The 23,015-nt window shown below is 49.1% G+C and overlaps 1 pseudogene, besides 4 other annotated features; it reads right to left on the bottom strand.

The window, feature by feature from the left end:
- Positions 10,907-11,416: an enhancer, noted in NCBI's record as "NANOG-H3K27ac-H3K4me1 hESC enhancer chr8:20092215-20092724 (GRCh37/hg19 assembly coordinates)". NCBI's record gives its function as "activates a minimal SCP1, AML or CMV promoter by ChIP-STARR-seq in naive H9 embryonic stem cells {active_cell/tissue: H9 hESC(naive)}" and the evidence as "EXISTENCE:reporter gene assay evidence [ECO:0000049][PMID:30033119]".
- Positions 11,417-11,926: an enhancer, noted in NCBI's record as "NANOG-H3K27ac-H3K4me1 hESC enhancer chr8:20091705-20092214 (GRCh37/hg19 assembly coordinates)". NCBI's record gives its function as "activates a minimal SCP1, AML or CMV promoter by ChIP-STARR-seq in naive H9 embryonic stem cells {active_cell/tissue: H9 hESC(naive)}" and the evidence as "EXISTENCE:reporter gene assay evidence [ECO:0000049][PMID:30033119]".
- Positions 15,261-15,761: an enhancer, noted in NCBI's record as "H3K4me1 hESC enhancer chr8:20087870-20088370 (GRCh37/hg19 assembly coordinates)". NCBI's record gives its function as "activates a minimal SCP1, AML or CMV promoter by ChIP-STARR-seq in primed H9 embryonic stem cells {active_cell/tissue: H9 hESC(primed)}" and the evidence as "EXISTENCE:reporter gene assay evidence [ECO:0000049][PMID:30033119]".
- On the bottom strand, positions 16,243-16,341 carry RNU6-892P (RNA, U6 small nuclear 892, pseudogene; annotated as a pseudogene).
- Positions 21,867-21,966: an enhancer, noted in NCBI's record as "active region_27064". NCBI's record gives its function as "activates an Ori minimal core promoter by ATAC-STARR-seq in GM12878 lymphoblastoid cells {active_cell/tissue: GM12878}" and the evidence as "EXISTENCE:reporter gene assay evidence [ECO:0000049][PMID:35858748]".

The following is a 23,015-nucleotide window of genomic DNA, read 5'->3' as shown; positions in this document are numbered from 1 at the left end:
GCTCCCTGGGACTTCTCCCCTTGGAACAGGAAAGATGACGTCCCTTCCACCAGCGAAGGGGGTGAGGAAGGCAGCACAGGGCAGTGGGAAAGGGGCCCCCGGGGTCAGACAGGCTTCAGCTGGCCCCTGCCCCCATCGCCTACCCCGGGACCTTATCTGTGAAATGAGAGGAAAAGGGACCCAGGGACAGGTGTCCATGTAGAGTCAGAGCGTCCTCTCCAAAAGAGAGCCCCTCCCCACCCAAACTGCATGCCCTACCGTCTGCTCACCTCACCAGCCAACTCCTGGGTCTACTGCATATGGCCTCCTGGCAAAAGACCAGCATGGCTACAATTGCCACTGCCCCAGGGCCCCCTGGTGGGGCAGGTGCAGTCACCATCATGGCCATCTGTCCAGCCTTCTTGGTTCCAGCCTACCTGGTGCCCCCTTGACAACCTTCCCTACCATCCCGGGCCCACAGCCTAGGCCCAGAGGGCTGCTGCTCAGGTGGTGGGAGACAGAAGGGACATGTTACGAGGAAATTGATAATGCAAGGCAGCATAGGGGGCACATAAGGGGCAGATGACAAGGCCTCTGCGGTGGGGAAGGTTAGTGTAGACGGGGGTCCGGGGAGATGCAGGCAGGAGAAGACCTGGGGCAAGGGTAGGACACAAGAGGAGCGGGAGAGAGGAGAAGACCAGAAAAGTGTCTCCGGGGCGGGCGTTCACACAGCTCCCTGCCCACCTGTGATGGGAAAAGAGCAGCACCGGGGATTGGAGAGGCAGGAGGGCCAGGGTGCAGGGGACCCCAGAGAAGCTCAACTCACTGAGCCAGGACAGGAGCCAAGTTGTGATTAACATATAAGCCCCAGCTTTGGGACAAAGGGGTCATGTCAGACCTGTGGTAACTCTTCCCTGTCTTCCTCCTAGACCTGGCCCAGGCTGGTGACCTCACTAAAACATCCCTCTCACTAATCACACCCTTGGGTCACCCCTTCCTGTTTAATTCTAGTAGGCCCAGAGACTCATTTTAACCAATGGGATAGAGCAGGAGTGATGCTCTGCCAGTTTTAGCCTAAGCCTAGAAGGCCTAGCAGCTTCTACTTCTATTCTATTATTTGAGACAGGATCTCACTCTGTCACTCAGGCTTGAGAGGGCAATGGTGCGATCATGGCCCACTGAGGCCTTCACCTCATGGGCTCAAGCAATCCTCCTGCCTCAGCCTCCCAAGTAGCTAGAACCACGAGCATGCACCACCATACCTGGCTCATTTTTTATTTTTTTTCTGGAGATGGGAGGGTCTCACTATGTTGCCCAGGCTGGTCTCAAACTCCTGGCCTCAAGCCATCCTCCCACCTTGGCCTCCCAAATTGCTGGGAATACAGGCATGAGCCCCTGTGCCTGGCCCACTTCCGCTTTTATACTCTCGGGAGCCCTAAGCTGCCACAGAAGAAGCCCACCCTCCCATTTTGCTGGAAAGGCCACGTAGGGTAGGAGGGGCCACTTGTCCCAGAGTCTCAGCTAGGTCCCGTATCCAGCTGAGTGCAGCTGAGTGACTACCCAGGACGCAGCCGACCCCATGGGGAGCAGAGCCTTGTTCCCCACTCTGCCCTGCCACAGTCCTTACCCTCAGATCCCTAAGCACAGTAAATGACCATGTGTTTAAGCCACTGAAGTCAGGGGGATCTATTACATGGCATAAAAATACATCACCAGAATGCCTATCAGCACGCTCCTTTGCTTGCCACTTGACAAGCCTGTCTCCATCCAAAGGGCTCAGAATGACATAAAAAAAGCACCCCTAGAAAAGCACAAGGCGGGCCAGGTGCGGTGGCTCACACCTGTAATCCCAGCACTTTGGGAGGCTGAGGCGGGCAGATCATCTGAGGTCAGGAGTTCGAGACCAGACTGGCCAACATGGCAAAACCCTGTCTCTGCTAAAAATACAAAAATTAGCTGGGCATGGTGGTGCAAGCCTGTAATCGCAGCTACTCAGGAGGCAGAGACAGGAGAATCGCTTGAATCTGGGAGGCGGAGGTTGCAGTGAGCTGAGATTGCACCACTGCACTCCAGCCAGGGCAACAGAGCGAGACTCTGTCTCAAAAAAAAAAAAAAAAAAAGATAAAGAAAAGCACAGAGCCATGGGAAAGACCATTCCAGCTGGAAGAGCAGCGGTGAGGCAAGGGGGCAAAAGAGTGGAGAAATGAGGGCTTTTCCTGATCCCACTTCCTCCAGAGCCCTGCCTAGGAAACAGCCTTCCTGGAGCCTCCCAAACATGCTTATTGTTTTATCTTTTGTCTTGTTTTCTTGTAGAGACAGGATCTCACTATATTGTCCAGGCTGGTCTCAAACTCCTGGCCTCAAGTAATACTCCCACCTCAGCCGCCAAAAATGCTGGGATAACAGGCATGAGCCACCCCATTCAGCCCTCTGCTTATTACTTTAGGAAAAAGAATAGAACAAAAGGGAAAGGAGAGAGAGAGAGAAGAGACAGAGAAAAAGGGAAAGAAGGAGAGAGAGACTCCTTCTTCCTTGACAACAAGCAGCTCAATCCTCAGCCTCCACCGCACACATTGCACAGTCTCAGAATATTTTTATCGAGCCCCAGACGGACTGAGTGCACAATTGAGCCTGTGAGAAGGGAGACAGTTGGGGATCATCCCCAGGCATTCACAGCAGCAGGTGTTTTCTGAGTTATTTAAGGAAGGTCACGCTGTCCCCAAATATCTCCCCAACCCAGGTGCCACAAGGCCTGAAATATCACAATTTCATGCATGCATGCATGTATTTCTTCAATAAATATTTATTGGACTCCTACTTTTTGCCAGCCCTGTTCTAGATGCCAGAAATACAGCGGTGAACAAAGCAGTCAAGGTCCCTTCTCCTGATGAAGTTTACACTTTGGAAGAAAAGAAATAAATAATTTTCCATTATAATAAGTGCTACAAAGGAAATAAAGAGGGTGATATAAGCTGTCTGTGGAGAAACTGGAGGTGCTGTAACTGCAGCAGAGTGAGTGAAGTGGGGAAACTGGTACAGTGAAAGGAAAGTTGGAGAACCACAAATATCACCTGATGTCACTATCTTGACAGCACATGCTGTCCTTTTCTAACTTGGATTCCCCACCCTTCATGCCAAATTCTTTCTCTTAGAAATCTCTTCTTCGCCAGGCGCCGTGGCTCACGCCTGTAATCCTAGCACTTTGGGAGGCTAAGGTGGGCAGATCACGAGGTCAGGAGTTCGAGACCAACCTGGCCCTGTCTTTACTAAAAATACAAATATTAGCCAGGCATGGTGGCAGGCGCCTCTAGTCCCAGCTATTCGGGAGGCTGAGGCAGAAGAATTGCTTGAACCCGGGAGGTGGAGGTTGCAGTGAGCCGAGATTGCACTCCGGCCTGGATGACAGAGTGAGACTCCATCTCAAAAAAAAAAAAAAAAAGAGATCTCTTCTCTGGGGGTCTCAGTAGATATGGGTGTGTGTGTGTGTGTGTGTGTGTGCACGAGCACACAGGCACGCAAGACAGAGTCTCACTCTGTAACCCAGGCTGAAGCACAGTGGTGTGGTCACAGCTCACTGCAGCCTCCACCACCTCCAGGGCTCAAGCAATTCTTCTGCCTCAGCCTCTTGAGTAGCTGGGACTATAGGCACACCCCACCATGGCTAGCTAATTTTTGTATTTTTTTGTAGAAACGGGGTCTCGCTATGTTGCCCAGGCTGGTCTCAAACTCCTGAGCTCAAGTGATCCACCCGCCTTGGCCTTTCAAGTGCTGGGATTACAGGCATGAGCCGCCATGGCCAGCCCTCAGCAGACACCTTCTTATCTTACCAGGGGACTTGCAGCTTTTCTTCCCTAACCTCAGCTTTTCTTGTTGCCACCCGCTGGACATCTCTAGCTTCCTCTCCATCTAAAACAAACCCCTCCCACCACCTCCCAATAAAGACCTTTGAAAAGCCTTAAGCATTAAACATTGTTGTTCTCACATATGAAATTAAAGACAAAACTTTGTGAAATGGCACAATTCTTATAGAGATGCTGAAATTAAAAGTTTCTAGGTAACTTAATTAAAAAATGTTCAGCTTTAATTATCTATATATATATTTCAGAGACAGTCTCTGTCACCAAGGCTGGAGTGCACTGGCACAATCATAGCTCACTGCAGCCTCCAACTCTTGGACTCAGGTGATCCTCCTGCCTCAGCCTCCCAAGTAGCTACTAGCCACCAAACCCAGCTAATTAAAAAAATGTTTTTGTAGAGATGAGGTCTCACTATGTTGCCCAGGTTGCTTTCAAACTCCTGGCCTCTAGCAATTCTCCTGCCTCAGCCTCCCAAAGTGCTAGGATTACAGGCATGAGCCACTATGCCCAGCTAAATTATCTACATATTTTTTGTTTGTTTTGGTGGGAGGGATGTGTTTATTCTGCGTACTGTATAATCCAGACTTTCCCCCAGGTAACTCTATCCTACCATCTCTCACTGCAGTTTGGAGCCATTGTTGACTCCTGCCTCTCCATCATCCTCTCTGTCCAATCAGATCCTAGATCCTGCAGGCTCTATCCACTCCTCACAGCCCTACCCACCACCCTCTTTTCTGTCTACATCTATTAGCTCATTTGAGGTCATCAAAAGGATTGCAAAACGTCCAAGACATCTTAGACCTTAGACATCTTCTAATTCTCACCATCTCAATTTTATAGACATACAAAAGGGAGACCTAGAAAGACAAGAGGGCTTTCTAAAGGTCACACGGCTAGTTGATGATATACCTGGTCTCCTTGGCAGCTCTACTAACCCTGCTAGTTTCTTTGCCCCCACTCTGGCCCATTAAATCCATTAACACACAACAGTCCGGTTTACACCTCCAGTGCTGCTGACATCATAACCTTGCCCTGCCCAAAAGCTTGAGTGGCTCTTCACTGATGTCAGAATCATCTCCAGCCCTCTTAGCTGGCTTTCAGGTCTCTCCATTTCATGGGGTTCCAACACCCACATCTGCAAACTTGAATCTGATGGGAGGGGCCAGAGCGCATTCCATAAAACATCACATCTATCATCAACATTAGCTCCATCAGCAATGAGGGATTCCTCTTGTCCATCACAATCTTTATGAAAAGACCCCCCTCGGCTGCCCAGTTCTGTGTTGTACCTGAGATCTTCCAAGAGGCAGCACGTACAGAGGTTAAGTCCTTCATCTGGAGAATCAGCTGGCCACGTTAGCATCCAAACTCCTCTGCTGCTGAGATAAGGTTACTTAGACCAGCCATGGTGGCTCGCTCCTATAATCCCAGCAGTTTGGGAGGCTGAGGCGGGAAGGTTGCTTGAGACCAGGAGTTGGAGACCAGCCTGGGAAATATAGGGAGACTCCGCCTCTACAAAAAATACAAAAATTAGGCAAGTGCGGTAGTGCATGCCTGTAGTGTCAGCTACTCAGGAGGCTGGGGTGGGAGAATCACTTGAGCCTGGGAGCTTGAGGCTGCAGTGGGCTGTGATGGTGCCACTGCACTCCAGCCTTGGCAATAGAGGAACACCCTGTCTCAAAAAATAAATAAGTTACTTAGGCTGGGTGCGGTGGCTCACGCCTGTAATCCCAACACTTTGGGAGGCTGAGGTGGGTGGATCACTTGAGGTCAGGAGTTCGAGAACAGCCTGACCAACATGTTGAGAACTCCATCTCTACTAAAAATACAAAAATTAGCCAGGCGTGGTGGCACGCACCTGTAAACCGAGCTACTCAGGAGGCTGAGGCAGGAGAATCGCTTGAACCCATGAGGCAGAGGTTGCAGTGAGCTGAGATCGCGCCACTGCACTCCAGCCTGGGCAAGAGAGCGAGACTCTGTCTCAAAAATTAATACTAATAATAAATAAATAAATACATAAATAAATAAATTGCTTAAACTCTCTGGGCTTCAGAGGGTTGTTTTGACAATTATATGAGATAATGCTCAATAAAAGTTAAAGCATTGCTACTGTTTATTATGACTACCACAATTTAGTGACATGATACTTATTAGTATTTGTTAACAAAATGTCCCTGCTTCAAGCCAAGATGAGTTACAGTGGTGCCCCAAGCTCCCTTGGCCTGGCGAAGCTCTACCCCGTGGAAACAACAGATCTTACTCTGATGAGCTACCTCCCCAGCTCCCTGCAACCTTTTCTCTCCAGGTTTCAATACCAGAAGGCTGCCTTATGGGGGTATGCCCCTGGGACCGAGGGCACAGCCGGAGGAAAGAAAGGAACAAGGAGGGATTTGCTGGGGGGTGTGGTGAAGGGCTGGGCCGGGCCACCCTGTGACTGTGACACTGACCAAAACCCCCGGCCGAAATGGAACTGGTTAAAATCCTTATTCACTACCTTTGGCACCTCTTTCCCTCTCCCCCCTCTCTCAGCTCTGCCACATAGTGCCAGCCTGAGCGTATACGCATGCACACACACACACACATGCACACGAGCATGCACACATGCAGCCCCCCCACCTCGTTCTCCTTCTGCCCCTTGCCCCCCACTGCCTCAATTACAGCTAATTGAGAGGTAAATAGGCTCATGACAGCAGTTGTAATCAGTGACAGGTGAAGCAAATTAAATTTCTTACACCAAAAATAACAGGACGATTTGCCTGCCACGGCCCGTCATTCAGATGGCCCCCTCTTGGGTTGCGGGGGCCGTGAACACATAGCCTGCGGGTTTCAAGGTCCAGGGTTCCCTTTGCTTGACTGGTTTTCCAGGCAGACTCCAGGGACTCAGCAAAGCAAGCTGGGGGTGGCGGGTATTATCCATACCAAATAGAAAGGAAGTGCCCTGGAGTCCCTGGAATTGACTGGGCTGGGTGCTGGCTGACTTCTCAATCCTGTCACTTGCATTTAACCCTCACAGCAGCCCTGCATTCTACACTGTCCTGTGCACAGTGGATAGTCGCAGCCCCAGGCCTGACTGTGGCCAAGGCACAAGCTCTTGGTCTGCTGCTGGGTTGCCTCCTCCTCCCAGCCTTGCTACAGCTGTGGACAGAAGTCACAGTGGTGGTCAGGGTCACCTTGCTGTCCTCCCACACTATGCATCACAGTGGCCCAGCTCTCCTAGGCCACCGTTTCTTCTGGCCCCTGAAAAACACCCATCTGAGCTGGGAGGTGCTTGGCCTGCTCTGCTCACCTGGATTGCTGCCATGCTGGAGCAGGGGGGTTGCCTGGGACCCGCCCACCCCTCGGAAAGAGGAAAGGAGTGGCCTGAGCGCCACTGCCCACTGTCAACCTCACCTGCCTCCTTCATCAGCTTCCCAGGCCCCTCCCTTGTGAAGCAAATGCTTTCCAGGGAAATTCTGGCTCCAGCCTTCATCTGGCTGGGCCTCCAAGACTATACTTAGAAAGTGGGAGAGGACACAGGCGTGCCAATGGGCCAGCTCCAGGGAGAGCTGGCATCACCCAAGACTCATGCTGCAGAAAACCAAAGGCAAGTCCCCCACTCAAAGTCCCGCTCCCGCCACCCAATCTGGTTACCCCCTGCCTCCCCCTGCTTCCTGAGCCCAAGAGCAGTGTACGCGCTCAGGCCCAATTTCCTGCTGCTGCCTTACAATATTATAGTTTGATAGAGGATTTTCCTACTTATAGACTCCCAAAGGGTATAGCTATATCAGAAAAGGAAAAAGCGTATCAAGCAAATGTGCTTTTCCTGTACACACACACACACACACACACACACACACACACACACACACACTGCTCTTTTTCTCTAGCTTCTAGATGTCTTTTAAACTTAGGGCTTCAGAGGTGTCTGTGTGTGTGCATGCATGTGGTTTTGTGTCTGTGTATGTACGTGTGTATGTATGTGCATGTGTACGTGTGTATGCGTATATGTATAGCTGTGCATGTGTGACTCTATGTATGTGTGCATGTGTATATATGGGGGTGAGTGTATGTGTGCATGCATGTGTATGTCTGCATGTATATGTGTGACTGTGCGTATGTAAGTGCATGCATGTGTGTATGTGTGGGTGTGAGTCTATGTATATATATGTTTATGCATGCATATGTTTATGTAAATTGTGTGCATATATGGGGTGGGTTGAGTGTATGTATGTGAATGTGTATGCGTATATATGTATATGTGTATGTGTGTATGTATTGTGTGTATCTGTGTGTATACATAGGGGTAGGTGTGAGTGTGTGTATGTGTATTATGTGCATATCTGTGTGTATATGTGTATATATCTGTGTGTATGTGTGTACGTATGTATATGTATATGTGTATGTATGTGTGTGGGGTGACAGGTGTGAGAGTGTATGTGTATGTATGTGTATATCTGTGTGTATATATATGTATGTGTGTATGTGTGTATTTGTATATGTGTGTATACATGGGGGTAGGTGTATGTATGTACATGTATGTACATGCGTATCTGTGTGTATGTGTGTGTATATCTGTATAGGTATATGTGTATGTGTGCGTGTATAAATGGGGGTAGGTGTGCCTGTATGGTGTATGTGTATATATGTGCATATCTGTGTGTATGTGTGTATATATATGTATATGTGTGTGTATGTATTTGTGTGTGTGTATACATGGGGGTAGGTGTGTGTGTATGTGTACATATGTGCATCTGTGTGTGTATATATGAATATTTGTGTGTATGTGTGTATACATGGGGGTAGGTGTGAGTGTGCGTGTGGGTATGTGTATATGTATGTGCATACCTGTGTGTGTATATGTATATGTGTGTATGCATTTGTGTGTGTGTGTATACATGAGGGTAGGGGTGTGTGTGTGTGTGTGTGTGTGGATGTGTGGATGTGGGTGGGAGGGGCTGAAGGGTGTCCGCATATGGAAGGTGCTGCTTTCCTTCCATTCTTTCGTTTTATCCCCACCCCCACGGGCACCAGGGCACCTGCTAACCTCCCAGAAGTGCCTGTGATGCGGATGAGGACTCAGGGCGCAGACCTGTCTGAGGGAAGAAGTTTCCGGGCGCAGACCTGTCTGAGGGAAGAAGTTTCCGGGTGCAGACCTGTCTGAGGAAAGCTTTTCTGGCTACACCTTGGGGAAGACCTTGGGGAAAAGAAGTCAGAAGGATGGGTAGAGAGGTGAGTTCACCACGGGGCAGTCACAACGGAGGGCTCAGCTGCTCCTCACCCGGGGTGAGATGAGAGGGCTAGGCCTTGACGTCCCCACCCTTACTCCAACCCCACACCCAGCCAGTGCCTGGGCCCCCTCCCCAAGCTGGGATGGATGTGTGCCTGGGCCAGGGCAAGCCTCAAAGAGGGACGCAGCTCTGCACTCTCAACAGCTGGGGAGTGAAAGCCTCACCCTAGAGGGGAATTCGGGTCACCCCCGAGTCCCCCCACGCCCTCCTTTCTCTCCCCTCTTCTCTGCACTCATCATTGCCACGCCCCCGGCCTCTGAACCCTGCCCCACAAACCAAAGCCTAATGGATGTGGCAGAGTCTCTCACCAGTCCCCATCCCCCAAGCCCTCCATGGATGGCACTAAAACCAAACCTCACATCCCGGGCCAAGCTGCAGCATGGGCTACATTCACGCACCTCCTCCTGCCCCACAGCCAACTGTGTAGACATTTGTGGACACTCGCCGCCAGGAAGCAAACTGTCGGGGAGAAGGAACCTTGCTTGAATGTCTCCCATGTGCCTTGGCGTCCAGCCAGAGTCTGGGCTGGTGAGGGAAGAGGGCTAGAGCGGAGGTGGCTGCTTGTAGTTGTTCTGTGGGTTGCCCGAGAGCCAGCTCAGCTGTAGGTGACCCCTGACAGGTGGCCCCATCTTACCCTTCAATGCATCGGCCCCAGAAGCCAACCCAGCACCCACTGGCCCCCGGAGGTGCTCAGTACGAGGGCAGGAAGGGCTCTGGATGGGGAGTCAGACTTCCTAGGAGTTCGAGGCCAGTTCTCCCAGTTGGCCTTGAGCAAACCCCTTGACCTCCAGGGGCCCAGCTCCTCCTACCCACAGGGTCATGGTGATCCAGAAAGGACTTGGGCTGCCTGGTGAGGCCATTCTAGGCAGTAAATGACAGAGAAAGCGGCTGTTTCTAGGCTACCGTACTCGACAGAGAGAAGAGACGAAAGACTTGCGACCATGGGGGAGGTGGCCATGAGAGCTGAGGGCTTTCCCTGTCACAGCCCAGTGAGGCACACGGAGGCCGTGAAGACCCCCAGCACCCTGGGGGTGGGGGGAGCCGGGAGCAGGGTTAGCATGAGATGGGGTTCCTCCTGCTTTATGTCTCCCTGAAGGGCAGGCACAGTGACGGGCCCTGTTATCTCTCAGAGGCCCTGAGAGGAAGGGAAGCCAGCAACGCCTGCCCTGTGGGGAGAGAAGGGGTGGTCTTTGCGTCCAGTCCAATCTGTCCATCTAGGGATGGGGTCTCAGGGCACTGGTTACTCCTTAGTCACTTCGGGGCTTAATTACAAGGAGTGGGGGTGGAGGAGGGAAATGGGGAGTGGGTGAGGGGTGCGAGCCCTGGGGCTGGTTATCGCAGCCATGCTTCAGGGTGGCATCACACCATAGCGAGATCCTTGTGATGCTTTGCCACAAAGTTCAGGGGTCTGTCAGTTTCCTAGGGCTGCCATAATGAGTTACACAGACCACGTGGCTTATAACAACAGTAATTAATTCTCTCCCAGTTCCAGGGGCTGAGAGTTCAAGATCGAGGTGTTTGGTCCAGGGCTCCGTTCCCCCAGAAGGCTCCAGGGGAGATTTCTTCCTCGCCTCTTTCAGCTTCTGGTGGCCCCAGGTGTTCCTTGGCTTGTATTCACATCACTCCCATCTTCGCCTCTGTCTGCATGGCTATCTCTTCCCTGTCTCTGTGTCTTTATGCGGTGTTTCCCCCTCTGGGTCTCTCTTCTTATAAGGACACCAGTCCTATTGGATTAAGAGTCACTTCCTCTTAACTAATTACATCTGCAATGACCCTATTTCCAAACAAGGTCACATTCTGAAATCCTGGGAGTTAGGACATCAACATGTCTTTTGCGGGGACACAATTCAATCCGTTAAAAGGGGCACTGGGAGGACTGAGATTCAAGAGTGCAAGCACAGGTTTGGGACTTGCTAAACGCCCGAGTCCCTCCTGCTCCGTCCAGACAGGGGCAAACCCCATGAAAAGGAGAGCTGCCAGACGGGGGAGGGTCCCGGGGAGTGTCTAGCGAGTGCTCGTGAACTCCGAGAGGTTGTTTAAACCGCCCTCTGTTAAGAAGGGGGTGGGGCCCGGGTGGGTAACTCACTCAAAGCAACATGATTTTCCCCAGAATAGACCCAGGTCCCAAGAGTGGGGCACAGGGGCCCGTCCCCCTTTGAAGTGCAAATGCCGGTCCCTGGGTGCAGCCCTCCCAGAATAATCAGTGTCTTGCATCTGCTGCCCCGCCTGAAGTGCGACCTGCCAGCTGCTCTCGTTCTCTGGATGCCCCACTGGCTGAAGTCAGGTGGCTGGAAGGATCAGGCCCCAGGCAGACCCGGTAATCAGCACTTAGCAGGGAGGGGGAATTAAGAAAACAGAGTGTTTAATGTGCTGGGTGGCAGCTGCGGTTCCGCTCCCATTTGCTTAGATACCTGCTGTCCCCGCTGGGCCCTGGGTGGGGGGAGGGCGGCACGAGCAGCCCTTTGTTTAACAGCAGCTCACTTACAGGAGCCCCAGGCTGTTGGGCAGGTCGCAGGAGGAGGATGGGACATTTGGTGGTTTTGATAATGATCAGCAGTGACCTTGGTGATAAAGATGCTTAGCGCCAGGCTCCCCTGTGACAGAGAGTCCCAGCTGGCTGCTCTAGGGTCACCCATGAGGCTCCACCTTAAAATCCAGAGCTTCTCCACAAGAGAAGTCAAGACCAACACCATAAACAGGAGGATTCTGTTCTAAAAGCTGGGGTTTGGGAACCAGACGGAGCAGGAGCAGCTATGGAGACTGGTGGTGAGACCTAGCGTGCCGTCGGACTTTGGTTATCTAGCCCAAACCTCAGTTTTCTCATCTGTGAAACAGGAATCAGTCGTTACAGGGTGGGCATGAGAAAGTGTATGTAAAACACCTGTCAATAATATTCAACGTACTCTTTCCTCGCTAAGACCTCTAGAAAGGGTTAAGTCCTGGCACCTGTCCCCCCAAAAAAGGGGTAAGGTCAGGTGAGAGAAAAACACCAGGTAGCCCCCTCCAGGCCTCCTGATGCTCAGACCTTGCTCAAGAAGGGATGGCTTCCTTCTTTCTTCCTCCCTCCAACCCCTTTATCTGTCCCTTCTCAGCCGTGACCACATTACCTCTTGGGCTACCTGCCTCTTTTAGGGCCCTAGTGGGGCAGATCTATCTCGGCTGAGATAAAACAAGGCCAATCTAAACAGCTCCTAGGCTGAGCAAGACAGCCTGAAATTCAATGTTCGCTGAGTGAGTGCTCTGGACATTCGACCACCAGTGAACAAACCCCCAGCACTGGCACCCGGAGCCTTGGGTCTACAGGCCCAGCCAGAGTGGGGGAAGGTGGGCTCGGACATGCAAAGCTGCCACCTGGGGGTGATGCCCAGGGCTGCCTTCTCCAGAGCTTCTCCTTGGAGGGGACAGAGCTGTGCCCCTGAGACTCTAGAGCCCACAGGGAAAGGCCTTCTGGGGCTGCTACCTGCTCCTTATGCCTTTCTGGGCCCCTCAGGGACATCAGTCCTGACGTGCCGCAGGGAAGGCCCCGTGGCTCTGAAGAGAAGGCATTGGAATAGGAACTATATTCCTTTGCTCGGGTGGGCTACTGTAACCAAGAACCACAGGCCAGGTGGTTTCAACAACTGAAATATATTCTCTCACAGTTCTGGAAGTCTGAAAATCAAAGTGTCAGCAAGGTTGGTTCCTCCTGCAGGCTGTGAGGGAGAATCTATTTCCTGCAGCTCTCCCAGATTCCAGTGGTTTGCTGGCAACCTTCAGCATTCCTTGGCTTGTAACTGCATCACTCCAATCTTCACACAGGGCGTCTGTCTTCCCATGGCCGCTTTTAAATAAGGACACCAGTCATATTGGATTAGAGGCCCACCCTACTTCAGTGTGACCTCATCTTAACTAATATCTACAATGACCCTAGTTCCAAATAAGGTCACATTCTGGGTACTGGGGGGTTAGGATTTAAATACATAGTTTTTGGCAGGGGACACTACTCAACCTGGACTTAAGTGTAGAGTAGGATTTGTTTGTTTTGAAGACAGAATCTCGCTCTGTCACCAAGGCTGGAGTGCAGCGGTCTGACCTCGGCTCACTGCAACCTCTGTCTCCTGGGTTCAAGCAATTCTTGTGCCTCAGCCTCCCAAGTAGCTGGGATTACAGGCGTGCGCCACCATGTCCAGCTAATTTTTGTATTTTTAAGAGAGACGGGATTTCACCACGTTGGCCAGGCTGGTCTCAAACTCCTGACCTCAAGTGATCCACCTGCCTCAGCCTCCCAAAGTGCTGGGATTACAGGAATGAGCCACCACGCCCGGCTGGATTGTGACCAAAGAAGTAGCACCCTCCTGATATTTGCTCTCCTAAATCTAGGGCAAGAGAGCTTTCCAGTATGACTTATTTGGGAGAAGACAAAAACGCTGGCGTGCTTGGGGCCAGGGCCTCTGGGGCAGGAAGGAGGCTGCCCTCCTGCATAATCGCTGTCTCTCCTCTGCCTGTGCACTGTGCTGGGAAGAATTAGGTCAGCCTTTGGGCTTTGCCATGAGGTAGCAGAAACTATTAAAAGCTGTCCTGTGAGCCGACTTAGAGCCCAGTGATTTAGCACGATTTGGAGAGAGGAGTGGCCTCACGCCTCTGCCTCATGGCTCTGCCTCTGGGGAAACCGCCCAGGTAAAGTCCACATGTATGCATCCCACGAAGCTGCCCTTCATCTCTCCAGGCCCCTTCCTGATGTGTCAATCTGCTTAACTAGTTGTGCATATGTCAGAGAGCTGTTTTGATAAGTAAATCAGATGGTTAGGGCAAGCTGGCACACAGCAAATGCATGAATTCCGGCCATTGCTAGGCTGAGTCAGGGAGGGATGCCCTGCAGAGAACACAGAAGGCATCTTACAGCGTAGAATTGCTGGGAATACAAGGGCAGACCAGACCAGGGGTGGAACGAGGGCAGCGGGCACGGGGAAAGGAGGTGCCTAGGATGATTCCCACTAAGAGATCCACAGGAATACGGAGGAGGCGCTGCCTCCCCAGACACGGACTTGAGCACCCCGGCTCTTAAAGCTCCCTCTTCCCGTGTGGTCTACTGACACCTGATGGTAAGTAATGGAAATGCAGCAAGAGTTGCAAGGTTTTTTGTGTGTGCGTTTTCTTCTTTTAATTTTACTTCTGTTAACAGGATTAAAAGTACTGCTGCCTCTTCAGACACACGGATACCTGCACCTATGGCTACTCTAAGTTTCCCCACGTACACTAACTGACACAGACCTGAAACTTATGAGGGCTTTACGCTGGGGTCCATGATGGTGCTGCTGCTGGGCATCTTCTTTCTGTTCAGGGCCAGGTCAGTCCCAGGGCAGGCTTCAGAAAAGAGTCAGGCCGGGCGCGGTGGCTCATACCTGTAATCCCAGCACTTTGGGAGGCCGAGGTGGGCAGATCACTTGAGGTCAAGGGTTTGAAACCAGCCTGGCTAACATGGTGGAACCCCGTCTCTACTAAAAATATAAAAATTAGCCAGGTGTAATGGCTCACACCTGTTAATCCCAGCTACTCAGGAGGCTCAGGCAGGAGAATTGCTTGAACCTGGGAGGCAGAAGCTGCAGTGAGCCGATAGCGCCATTGCACTCCAGACTGGGCCTGGGCGACAGAGTGAGACTGTCTCAACAAAAGAAAAAAAGGGGAGGGAAGAGTCAGTCCTTTCTGGGCCTAAAAATCTCTAGAGTAGAAGCTGTTGCTGCTACTTGATTACAATATGCCTTCCACACCTTGTCCTCCAACTAGCAAAAGAAACCCAGGCTGCCCCAGCCAACCCAAAGGGCTACAGCACAGCTGTCTCCGTCATTCTGAGCACCTGAGTGTTTGGATTTGGGGAAAGGAAGTGGGAGGAGGAGAAAGAGGAAGAGAAGAAGAGAGAACAGCTTGAGAAGGACACATCTGGTCCTTTCTAGAAATCTATTAAAAAATTAGAACTTCCTGGAGATGCCATGATGTGGTCAATCACCTATCTATGGATTAGGATTCAAGCCCTCTCTCGTTTTTTCGGGCACTGAGCTGAGAGGTAATTCTTGCTCTGGAATAACTGGTGACACAATCTGTAGGCATTGTCAGTGACCAAACTGAGCAGTGGTGGCTGGGCCTCGGGGTCTAAGGGAGCAGCCACAGCTGGGGAAGGTGGGCTCCCTCTCTCGGGCATGAGCAGCTGCTGCCTGGGGGTGATGCCCAGGGCTGCTTTCCCTGGAGCTTCTCCTCGGGGGAAGGGCACTCGCTCCCTGATGGGACAGGGCTGTGCCACCAAGACTCAGGGACCTGCAGGGGAAAGGCTTCTGGAGCTGCAGACGAAAGGCTTCTGAAGCTGACACTTGCTCCTGGTGCCTTCCTGGGTCCCTCAGGAGCCACAGGATCTTGTCTTGTCCTCAGGCTGTAACTAACCATCTCTAGTAACTACCCATCCCCGTCCTCTGAGACCTGCTCGTTGCTGGGTGTCATATAACAGAAATGAGAGGTCCTCTGGGTTAGTGGGTGCATCAGACCTTCCAGCTGCCATGCTGACCACCCTCAGGGCAGCTCTGTGGGGGCCTCTCTTTTAATATGGTTAGGAGTCGTGGTGGTGGACATGAAGAGAAGATACTACTAGGTCAGAAGAGTTTGGTATTTTATTTTGCTCTTATGAAAAGGGTGCCAGTCCCAAGCCTGTCTTTCCTGAAATAGTTTTACTTAGGAATACAATTCTGGTAGCCCTAAGGTTAGCCATCCTACTAAGAAATTTTGCATACCCACATTTATAGCCATTGACTTTATTTCTCTGATAACACTTAAGGGCCTGGTCATAACCTTCTTACCCTACAATACAAAGACAAAACAAACAAAAAACCACAGTCTTTGGAGAACAAGCTATGAGTTAAAGCCAGGCTGGTCACACACTACCTATGTGAAATTGGGCAAGTTACTTAACATCTGGCTTCAGTACCATCATTAATAGAACGTCTCTCATCAGCCACATGAGAGACACAAACATTAGCCTCCTCTGGACACTCAAGGCAACTTAAGATCACTAATTCTTCTAGGAGACATGGAATCTTACTCTTTTCCCTTTGTTTTGAGATCATGAGATCATAAAATGGTTTGCATCTACTTTTGATTTTTTTTCTTTCTCCTTTAAAAAAATATTTTTTTAAACATGTCATCCTTGTGCAGGAGCCACGCTAATCTTCTCTGTATCATTCTAATTTTAATGTATGTGCTGCTGAAGTGAGCACCTACTTTGGATGTCTACAATCACCCGGTGATACAGAGATAATCCCTGCTCAGATTGCTTTACAGATAAGGAAACTAAGGCTAAATGACATAGTCATTGAGGCATGGGCCTTGAATCTCTCAAAGCTGTGAACTCATTTTATCATAAAAATATAAGACTTGTTTTTCCTTTTCTTTTAGAGACAGGGTCTGGTTCTGTTGCAAGCGCTAGAGTGCAGCGGCATGATCATAGCTCACTGCCACCTTGACCTCCTAGGCTCTAAAGATCCTCCTGCCTCAGCCTTCTGAGTAGCTAGAACCACAGATACAAGCCACCAGGCTTGGCTAATTTTCATCTTTATTTTTGTAGAGACAGGGTCTTGTTATGTTGCCCAGGCTGGTCTCAAACTTCTGGTCTCAAGTCATTCTCCTGCCTTGGCCTCCCAGAGCGCTAGGATTATAGGTGTGAGCCACTGCACCTGGCCCCTAGGCTTTTTTTTTTTTTTTTTTTTTTTTTTTAGGGATATTATTAGAGATGTAGAAATGGAGGCGATGAGACCAAACAGTTCCCCACTTACCCAGAGGACCTCTCATCTCTCATTTCTACTGTATGACATTTCTGCCGTTTGTCACGCAATCAATTAGAAAAAGGCAAAGCCAGGATTCAAACCCAGATACTCTGGTAGATATTTTATAGTGTTTTCTCTTAATCTTTAACAGTTTATTGTCCCCATTTATATGATAAATAGGGTCAGAGATAGTAAACAACTTGTCTAAATTCTCATAACGTAATGGTAGAACATAGATTTCGTCTCGGATCTGCTGTTCTCCAAAGCCCATGATTTTCCATGTTAGGCTACCACAATCTGAGGACCTTTCTGCACAGCAGGAACACAGAGTGACAGAAGGAATCTCCACTAGATTTCGGCATTCCTGACTTCCAATCCCAGTTCTTCCACTAAATCTAGGTCAGTTACTTGGCCTCCCTGAACCTCAGGTAGCGGGCAGTAATGTTCTCCCTGCCCTATCTTCAATATTAGAGGATAGTGGGCTGAGGTGGGCATGGGGGTTCGTGCTGACAACAGCAATGCACTTGGAATCTTTCCTGGGCTCTTGAGGAAAACTCTCTTCCTTATTCCTTCTTTTTACATGGCAGCAGCAGAGTACTAAATGCCTCCCCAGAGAGCTCCGGTTGCTTGAATTTGTGTTAATGTCACTTCCTGTATGTTGGTATTTGTATTTTTCAAAGCAAGGGGAAGACCAGGAACAGAGCCCACGAGGCAGAGCTGGTGGAAAGTGCCAGGTCTGATCTAAGAAAAAGATCCTGTTGTCCTCAAGCTGAGAAGCCAGAGCTTCCCATTCCAGGCTTCTGTACAGGTCTGTAGGGGAAACAGCAATGGCCCCCTAAGGTGTTTATTCTATCCTGTTCTAGAAAGGGAACTCACCACCTCTAGAAAAAGTGATCAGGAGTGGTGAGTTTAGCAGTGTCCTGCCTTGGGTGAAATGTCCATTCATCATGTAAAAGCTCTGCTGCTGGCTTTCAGTCTTGGATTGGCATCCCCTGGAGTTTGATTTGGTGATACACAGGAGGGACAGGAAAAAGCCCATCATTACCTAGACAAGATGGCAAGAAAGAAGTCCCAGGTGCTGCCCAAGAGGGATCCTGGGCACCGCCAGGGCACACTGGCCACAGGCCAGAGTCAGATTTCCTGGATTGTAGAAATCATGTGGGCTCCCTGTCCTCCACCCATTTGGGGACCTTAAAATGAAGAAAGCTATCTTTGCAAAGTACATGGCTTTCCACAAGAAATACAGATGGCTTAAAAATGTTGGAATTCTATGACAACCTGGTTTACTTTAATACAGTATACTTTTTTATGCATTAAATTTGCAAGGTTTTTTGTTTTTGTTTTTGTTTTTGTTTTTTTTTTTTTTCCTATTACAAGTCAGGATGGTGGTTTCTGGAGAGAAAGGGGAGATGGTTAGTCACTGAAAGGGGACAGGATGGGGACCTCTGAGAGGCTGGAAATGTCCTGTCTAGTAACTTGGGTCTTGTTACACAGGTGTGCTTATTTTGTGGAAATGTATCAAGCTATCACATTAATGATCTGTGCAGTTTTCTATGTATGTTACTCTAATAGAAAATTTTCTTAAAATTAAGGTGTTTCTGGTTTTAGGGTTTTAACAAGAGTGAACACCCAGTGCTAGAGAGGGTGCAATGAAATCACGGTGAGACCAAAGGCTGTCATAAATCTTTTTTAAAGCAGTGGAGCCAATATAAGTAATGAGCTTTGGTAGTGTTCATATTCTTTGTCCTATACTTTTGGAAGTCTCTTAAATATCCCAGAACACGGACGAATATTTATGTACCAACAAATTCATCACAGTGTAAGCAAAAGTTGAAAATATGCTAAATGTTAAACAACAGAGACAATATGGGTATATTTATGATAAAGTGTTATATAGCCATTAAACTGAATGCTTAATAAGTGCAGTTTCCCATGCAATTAAGAGGCAGAATGAAAAATTTATGTTTCTTTAGTTTCAACTATATTAAAGCACTTGGAGTCTCATAGTAAATAAAGACCTGGTTTTTCTTAAGAAACGACATTAAGTATATCTTTAAAAGCTCAGTAAATAAGCTGGAAGCTACTTGCTTCCTGAATAAATCCGATTATTGGGCATTATAAAAAACCCCACTCCTGCACACTGCCAGTGAAAATAGAAAACAGGGGAGCCACTTTGGTAAGTCGTTTGGTAGTTCTTCAGAAGGTTAAACACGGAGTTATCATATGACCCAGCCATTCCACTCCTAGGGATATACTCAAGAGGAATGAAACATACACCCACACAAAAACTTGTACATGAATGTTGATAGCAGCACCAATGGCCCAAAGGCATATACAACTCAAATGTCCATCCACCAATGAACGGATACACACAAAGTAGTATATTCATATAATATTATTTGGTAATAAAAAGAAATGAAGCCTGATTATGTGTTATGACCTGGATGAACCTGGGAAACATTATGCTAACTGAAAGAAGCACTGTATGATTCCATTTATAAGAAATATCCAGAACAGGCCGGGCGCGGTGGCTCACGCCTATAATCCCAACACTTTGGGAGGTCGAGAAGAGTGGATCACTTGAGGTCAGGAATTCAAGACCAGCCTGGCCAACATGGTGAAACCCCGTCTCTACTAAAAACACAAAAATTCGCCAGGCATGGCGGTGCGCGCCTATCATTCCAGCTACTCGAGAGGCTGAGGCATGAGAATCACTTGAACCTGGGAGATGGAGGTTGCAGTGAGCTGAGATCACGCCACTCACTCCAGCCTGGGCGACAGAATGAGACTCCGTCTGAAAGAAAAAAAAAGAAAATCCAGAACAGGCAAATCCATGGACAGAGAAAGATCAGTAGCCGCCCGGGACTGGTAGGGTTGGGGAGAAATGGAGAGTGGCTTCTAATGGGTACAGTCTTTTGGGGGTGGGGAGAGAATATGAAAATGTTGTAACATTGATTGTGATGGTTGCACACTCTGTGACTATACTAAAAATCACTGAATGGCACTTTCAGTGGGTGAATTAGATGGTATGTGAATTATATTGCAGTAAAGCTGTTAAATACACACCCACTCACACACACACGCCCGCACACACACGTAACTCTTCTCTGCATCACCTTCAATGGTTCAGCGCACATTCTGTGCTTCGGTCATCATCTATTAAGGCGGGTTCTTCTGTAATCAGGGTATGCAGACTTAATCTGTTATTACATTTCTTCATGCCAGCCCTTATTGGCTTAAAATATATCTTCCACACTCATGTCGATCTTTCAGAATCCTTAGCAAAACGCATGGATAACTCCCTGGTATTTTCACAGGTTGTTGAAGCACTTAGAAGTAAACCACCTAGGCCCCATCTCTCTCTTTCTCTCTCTCCCTCCCTCTCTGGATAACCCAGAAATGTGCACACAAACCTTTCAGCTCTTATTCCACCCCTGCCTTCTGGTGGAGGTGGAGGAGGGCTACTGCATCTCACACTTCAGCCTGGTCTCATTCCTCATCGTCTCACAGGATTCACCCTTGCCACTTCAGTTCCTGGGGTCTCCTGATGGGAAACAGGGGTAGCAAAGGCCAGAAAGAAGCACAGTGGAGGATGGTTTCCTGAACCCTCCCTGAAAACCAAAGTGGCTGAAGGAAACAACAGCAGACCCATGAGAAGCAAGGGGCTTTTGCCTGTGTGCAGTGGCTCGCGCCTGTAATCCCAGCACTTTGGGAGGCCGAGGCAGGTGGATCACTTGAGGTCAGGAGTTCGAGACCAGCCTGGCCAACATGGTGAAACCTCGTCTCACTAAAAATACAAAAATTAGCCAGGCGTGGTAGCACGCACCTGTAATCCCAGCTACTCAGGAGGCTAAGGCAAGAGAATCGCTTGAGTCCGGAGGCAGAGGTTGCAGGTTGCAGTCAGTCAAGATCGCACCACTGTACTCCAGCCTGGGCGACAAAGTGAGACACCTCAAAAAAAAAAAGAAGAAAGGGGCTTTTGAGAAGTACTGCTAAAGGACCACAATTCCCCTCATGGCACATGTAATCTAAGGAATTCAATAGAACTTTGTTATTTGGAAATTATTTTTGTTTTTCAACGGAGCCCTCAGATTAAACCACACGGCTGTTTTGTAATCTCATGTACTGAAAGTTTACACCTTAAACACATCTCTTCTTGACATGATTCCCATAATCTTATATATATGTGGTCCTCAGGAGAAAGCAGCCAGAATTGCCGTGGGCTTTGGCTTAAGAAGACAGAAGGGCAAAGCCACAGGTGGTAAAGTCATGATTGTTGAAAGGTTCTATATGATAAAGTGTTAAATTTCCTCAAAGTCATAGGATTATGGAACTCTCTTCTTCATGCTTACCTGCACTTTCCAAGTTTTATCTGAACAATGAACATCTAGTAGGTAAATCACTAATGAAGCTTCCTTGGTGCTAGGGCCACACTTGAGTGCGACTGAATAGTAGATCCTGGGGAAAAGTATAGTAGAACCAGAGAATAGAATGTCTTACGTCAGAGTATATTGAGGTTTCCAGCAACCTAAGCTTGAATCAGAGTCCCAGCCTCTGTGAGTTGGTCTCAAGGCCCATGGTCCGTGCTCGCTTCCAGCTCCAGCTTCCCGCTTGGGAGAGGCCTTGGTTTCCATGAGCTGAGCCTCTAGATTTTGGAGAAGATTTTCTATGGACAACACAGACCCAATAACAAAAGTACTATGGGAGGAGGCTAGATCTGACTTCTAAACCTGTTCAGTTACCAGAGAGATCAGTAACTCCCTAACTCATAAAGGGAGGGATGGTTAAGCGAACTAGAAATATTTAGACTGAAGACTTAGAAGTGGCCAACTATCTTCAGAATGGTAGAGGGTAAACACCTGGGAGAGCCGTAGGGGACAGCCCAAGGATACCCCTCCGTGAAGTTAGAGGGAGGCAAGTTTCTTGGTTTAGGAAGATTATTCCAACGACCAGAGATGCCCATCTGTGAGTAGACTGCCTCCTGACACCGTCCCACCTTCACCAGAAGCTGGATCTCACTGCTTCAGATGCTCAGAAAGCCCTTCAGTTATCAGGAAAGGGCTGGACCAGGTCATCCTTGCCATCTCTCTACCCTGACCTCCCAATTCCACAGTACAGGGCTCCTTACACCGATTTCAGTTTATTTTTATCAGAGCATGTTCCCTTACAGTCCCCAGGCTAACATGCAGCCCCAAAAAAAGCACTATTTGATTCAGTGAACTGTTGACTGCCAGTCACTGATCCGGAAGTGTCTGTTTCTAGAACTCAGTGTTTAGCCACTGCCACACCATTCAGGGGCTGCTGCCCTCTTGTGGAAATGAAGAATACGACTGCTTAGAAAAGAAATTAGATGCATTTGGAGGCTATTGTCTGTACACACATTCCCATCTTACCTTCCCCTAAAAGCTTAACATTTTAGTGTGAGCCCTAAGCTTAACTTTTTAGTGTGAGCCCTGAAGTTCCTAGGTCCAGACAGTCAGGGCCTTTGGTTTACATTCACGCTACCATTCTGTCCACCAGGATATGGAACTTTAGCCACAATACAAAATCCTGGTTTCTAGCGAGATTGACATTTGTGAAGACCATTTTGATGTGTGGAGTGGCCTTTGGATGTTAACATTGTGCTGTGGGAAGAGCACTAGCCCACGCTTAAAGACCCAGGTTCCAGCTCGTGTTCTGCCATTCCCTTGTGACCCTGGACGAGTCATTTTCCAGTTGCATCTGTGGATAAAGGGCTACATGACCACTGGTACCTGGAACGCTGTAATTTATTGGATTTAGAAAATGCTCTAGGAGTTTAGAGATGAAATTCTGTGGAGAACAGTGGCATATCACATGTGCACTACTTGTAGCTGCTAACCACAGCAAACAGCCACGGGCTTGATTCTAGGTTAGGCACCCTCAGGCTCCTACAAAGGAGACCTAGGCATTGTTCATGTGTGCCTCAGCCTCAGGGATAGCCATGGTCAGATGCTTTGCTTTTCCCTTAAGTAGAAATGTGGCAGACTGTTCAGGGAGGGTCCCACAATTCCTAGCCTTCACACGTGTCTGAAAAACACTTACTAAGTTTTCTGGACGAGTTTTGCCACTAGCTCAGGATACAAAGCTCTGTGACCCATTAGTGACTG

This window comes from Homo sapiens, chromosome 8, assembly GCF_000001405.40.
Source record: "Homo sapiens chromosome 8, GRCh38.p14 Primary Assembly".
Classification (NCBI taxonomy): domain Eukaryota; kingdom Metazoa; phylum Chordata; class Mammalia; order Primates; family Hominidae; genus Homo; species Homo sapiens.
Note: the sequence above shows the minus strand (reverse complement) of the source record. Positions and strands in the feature narration are given on the sequence as shown.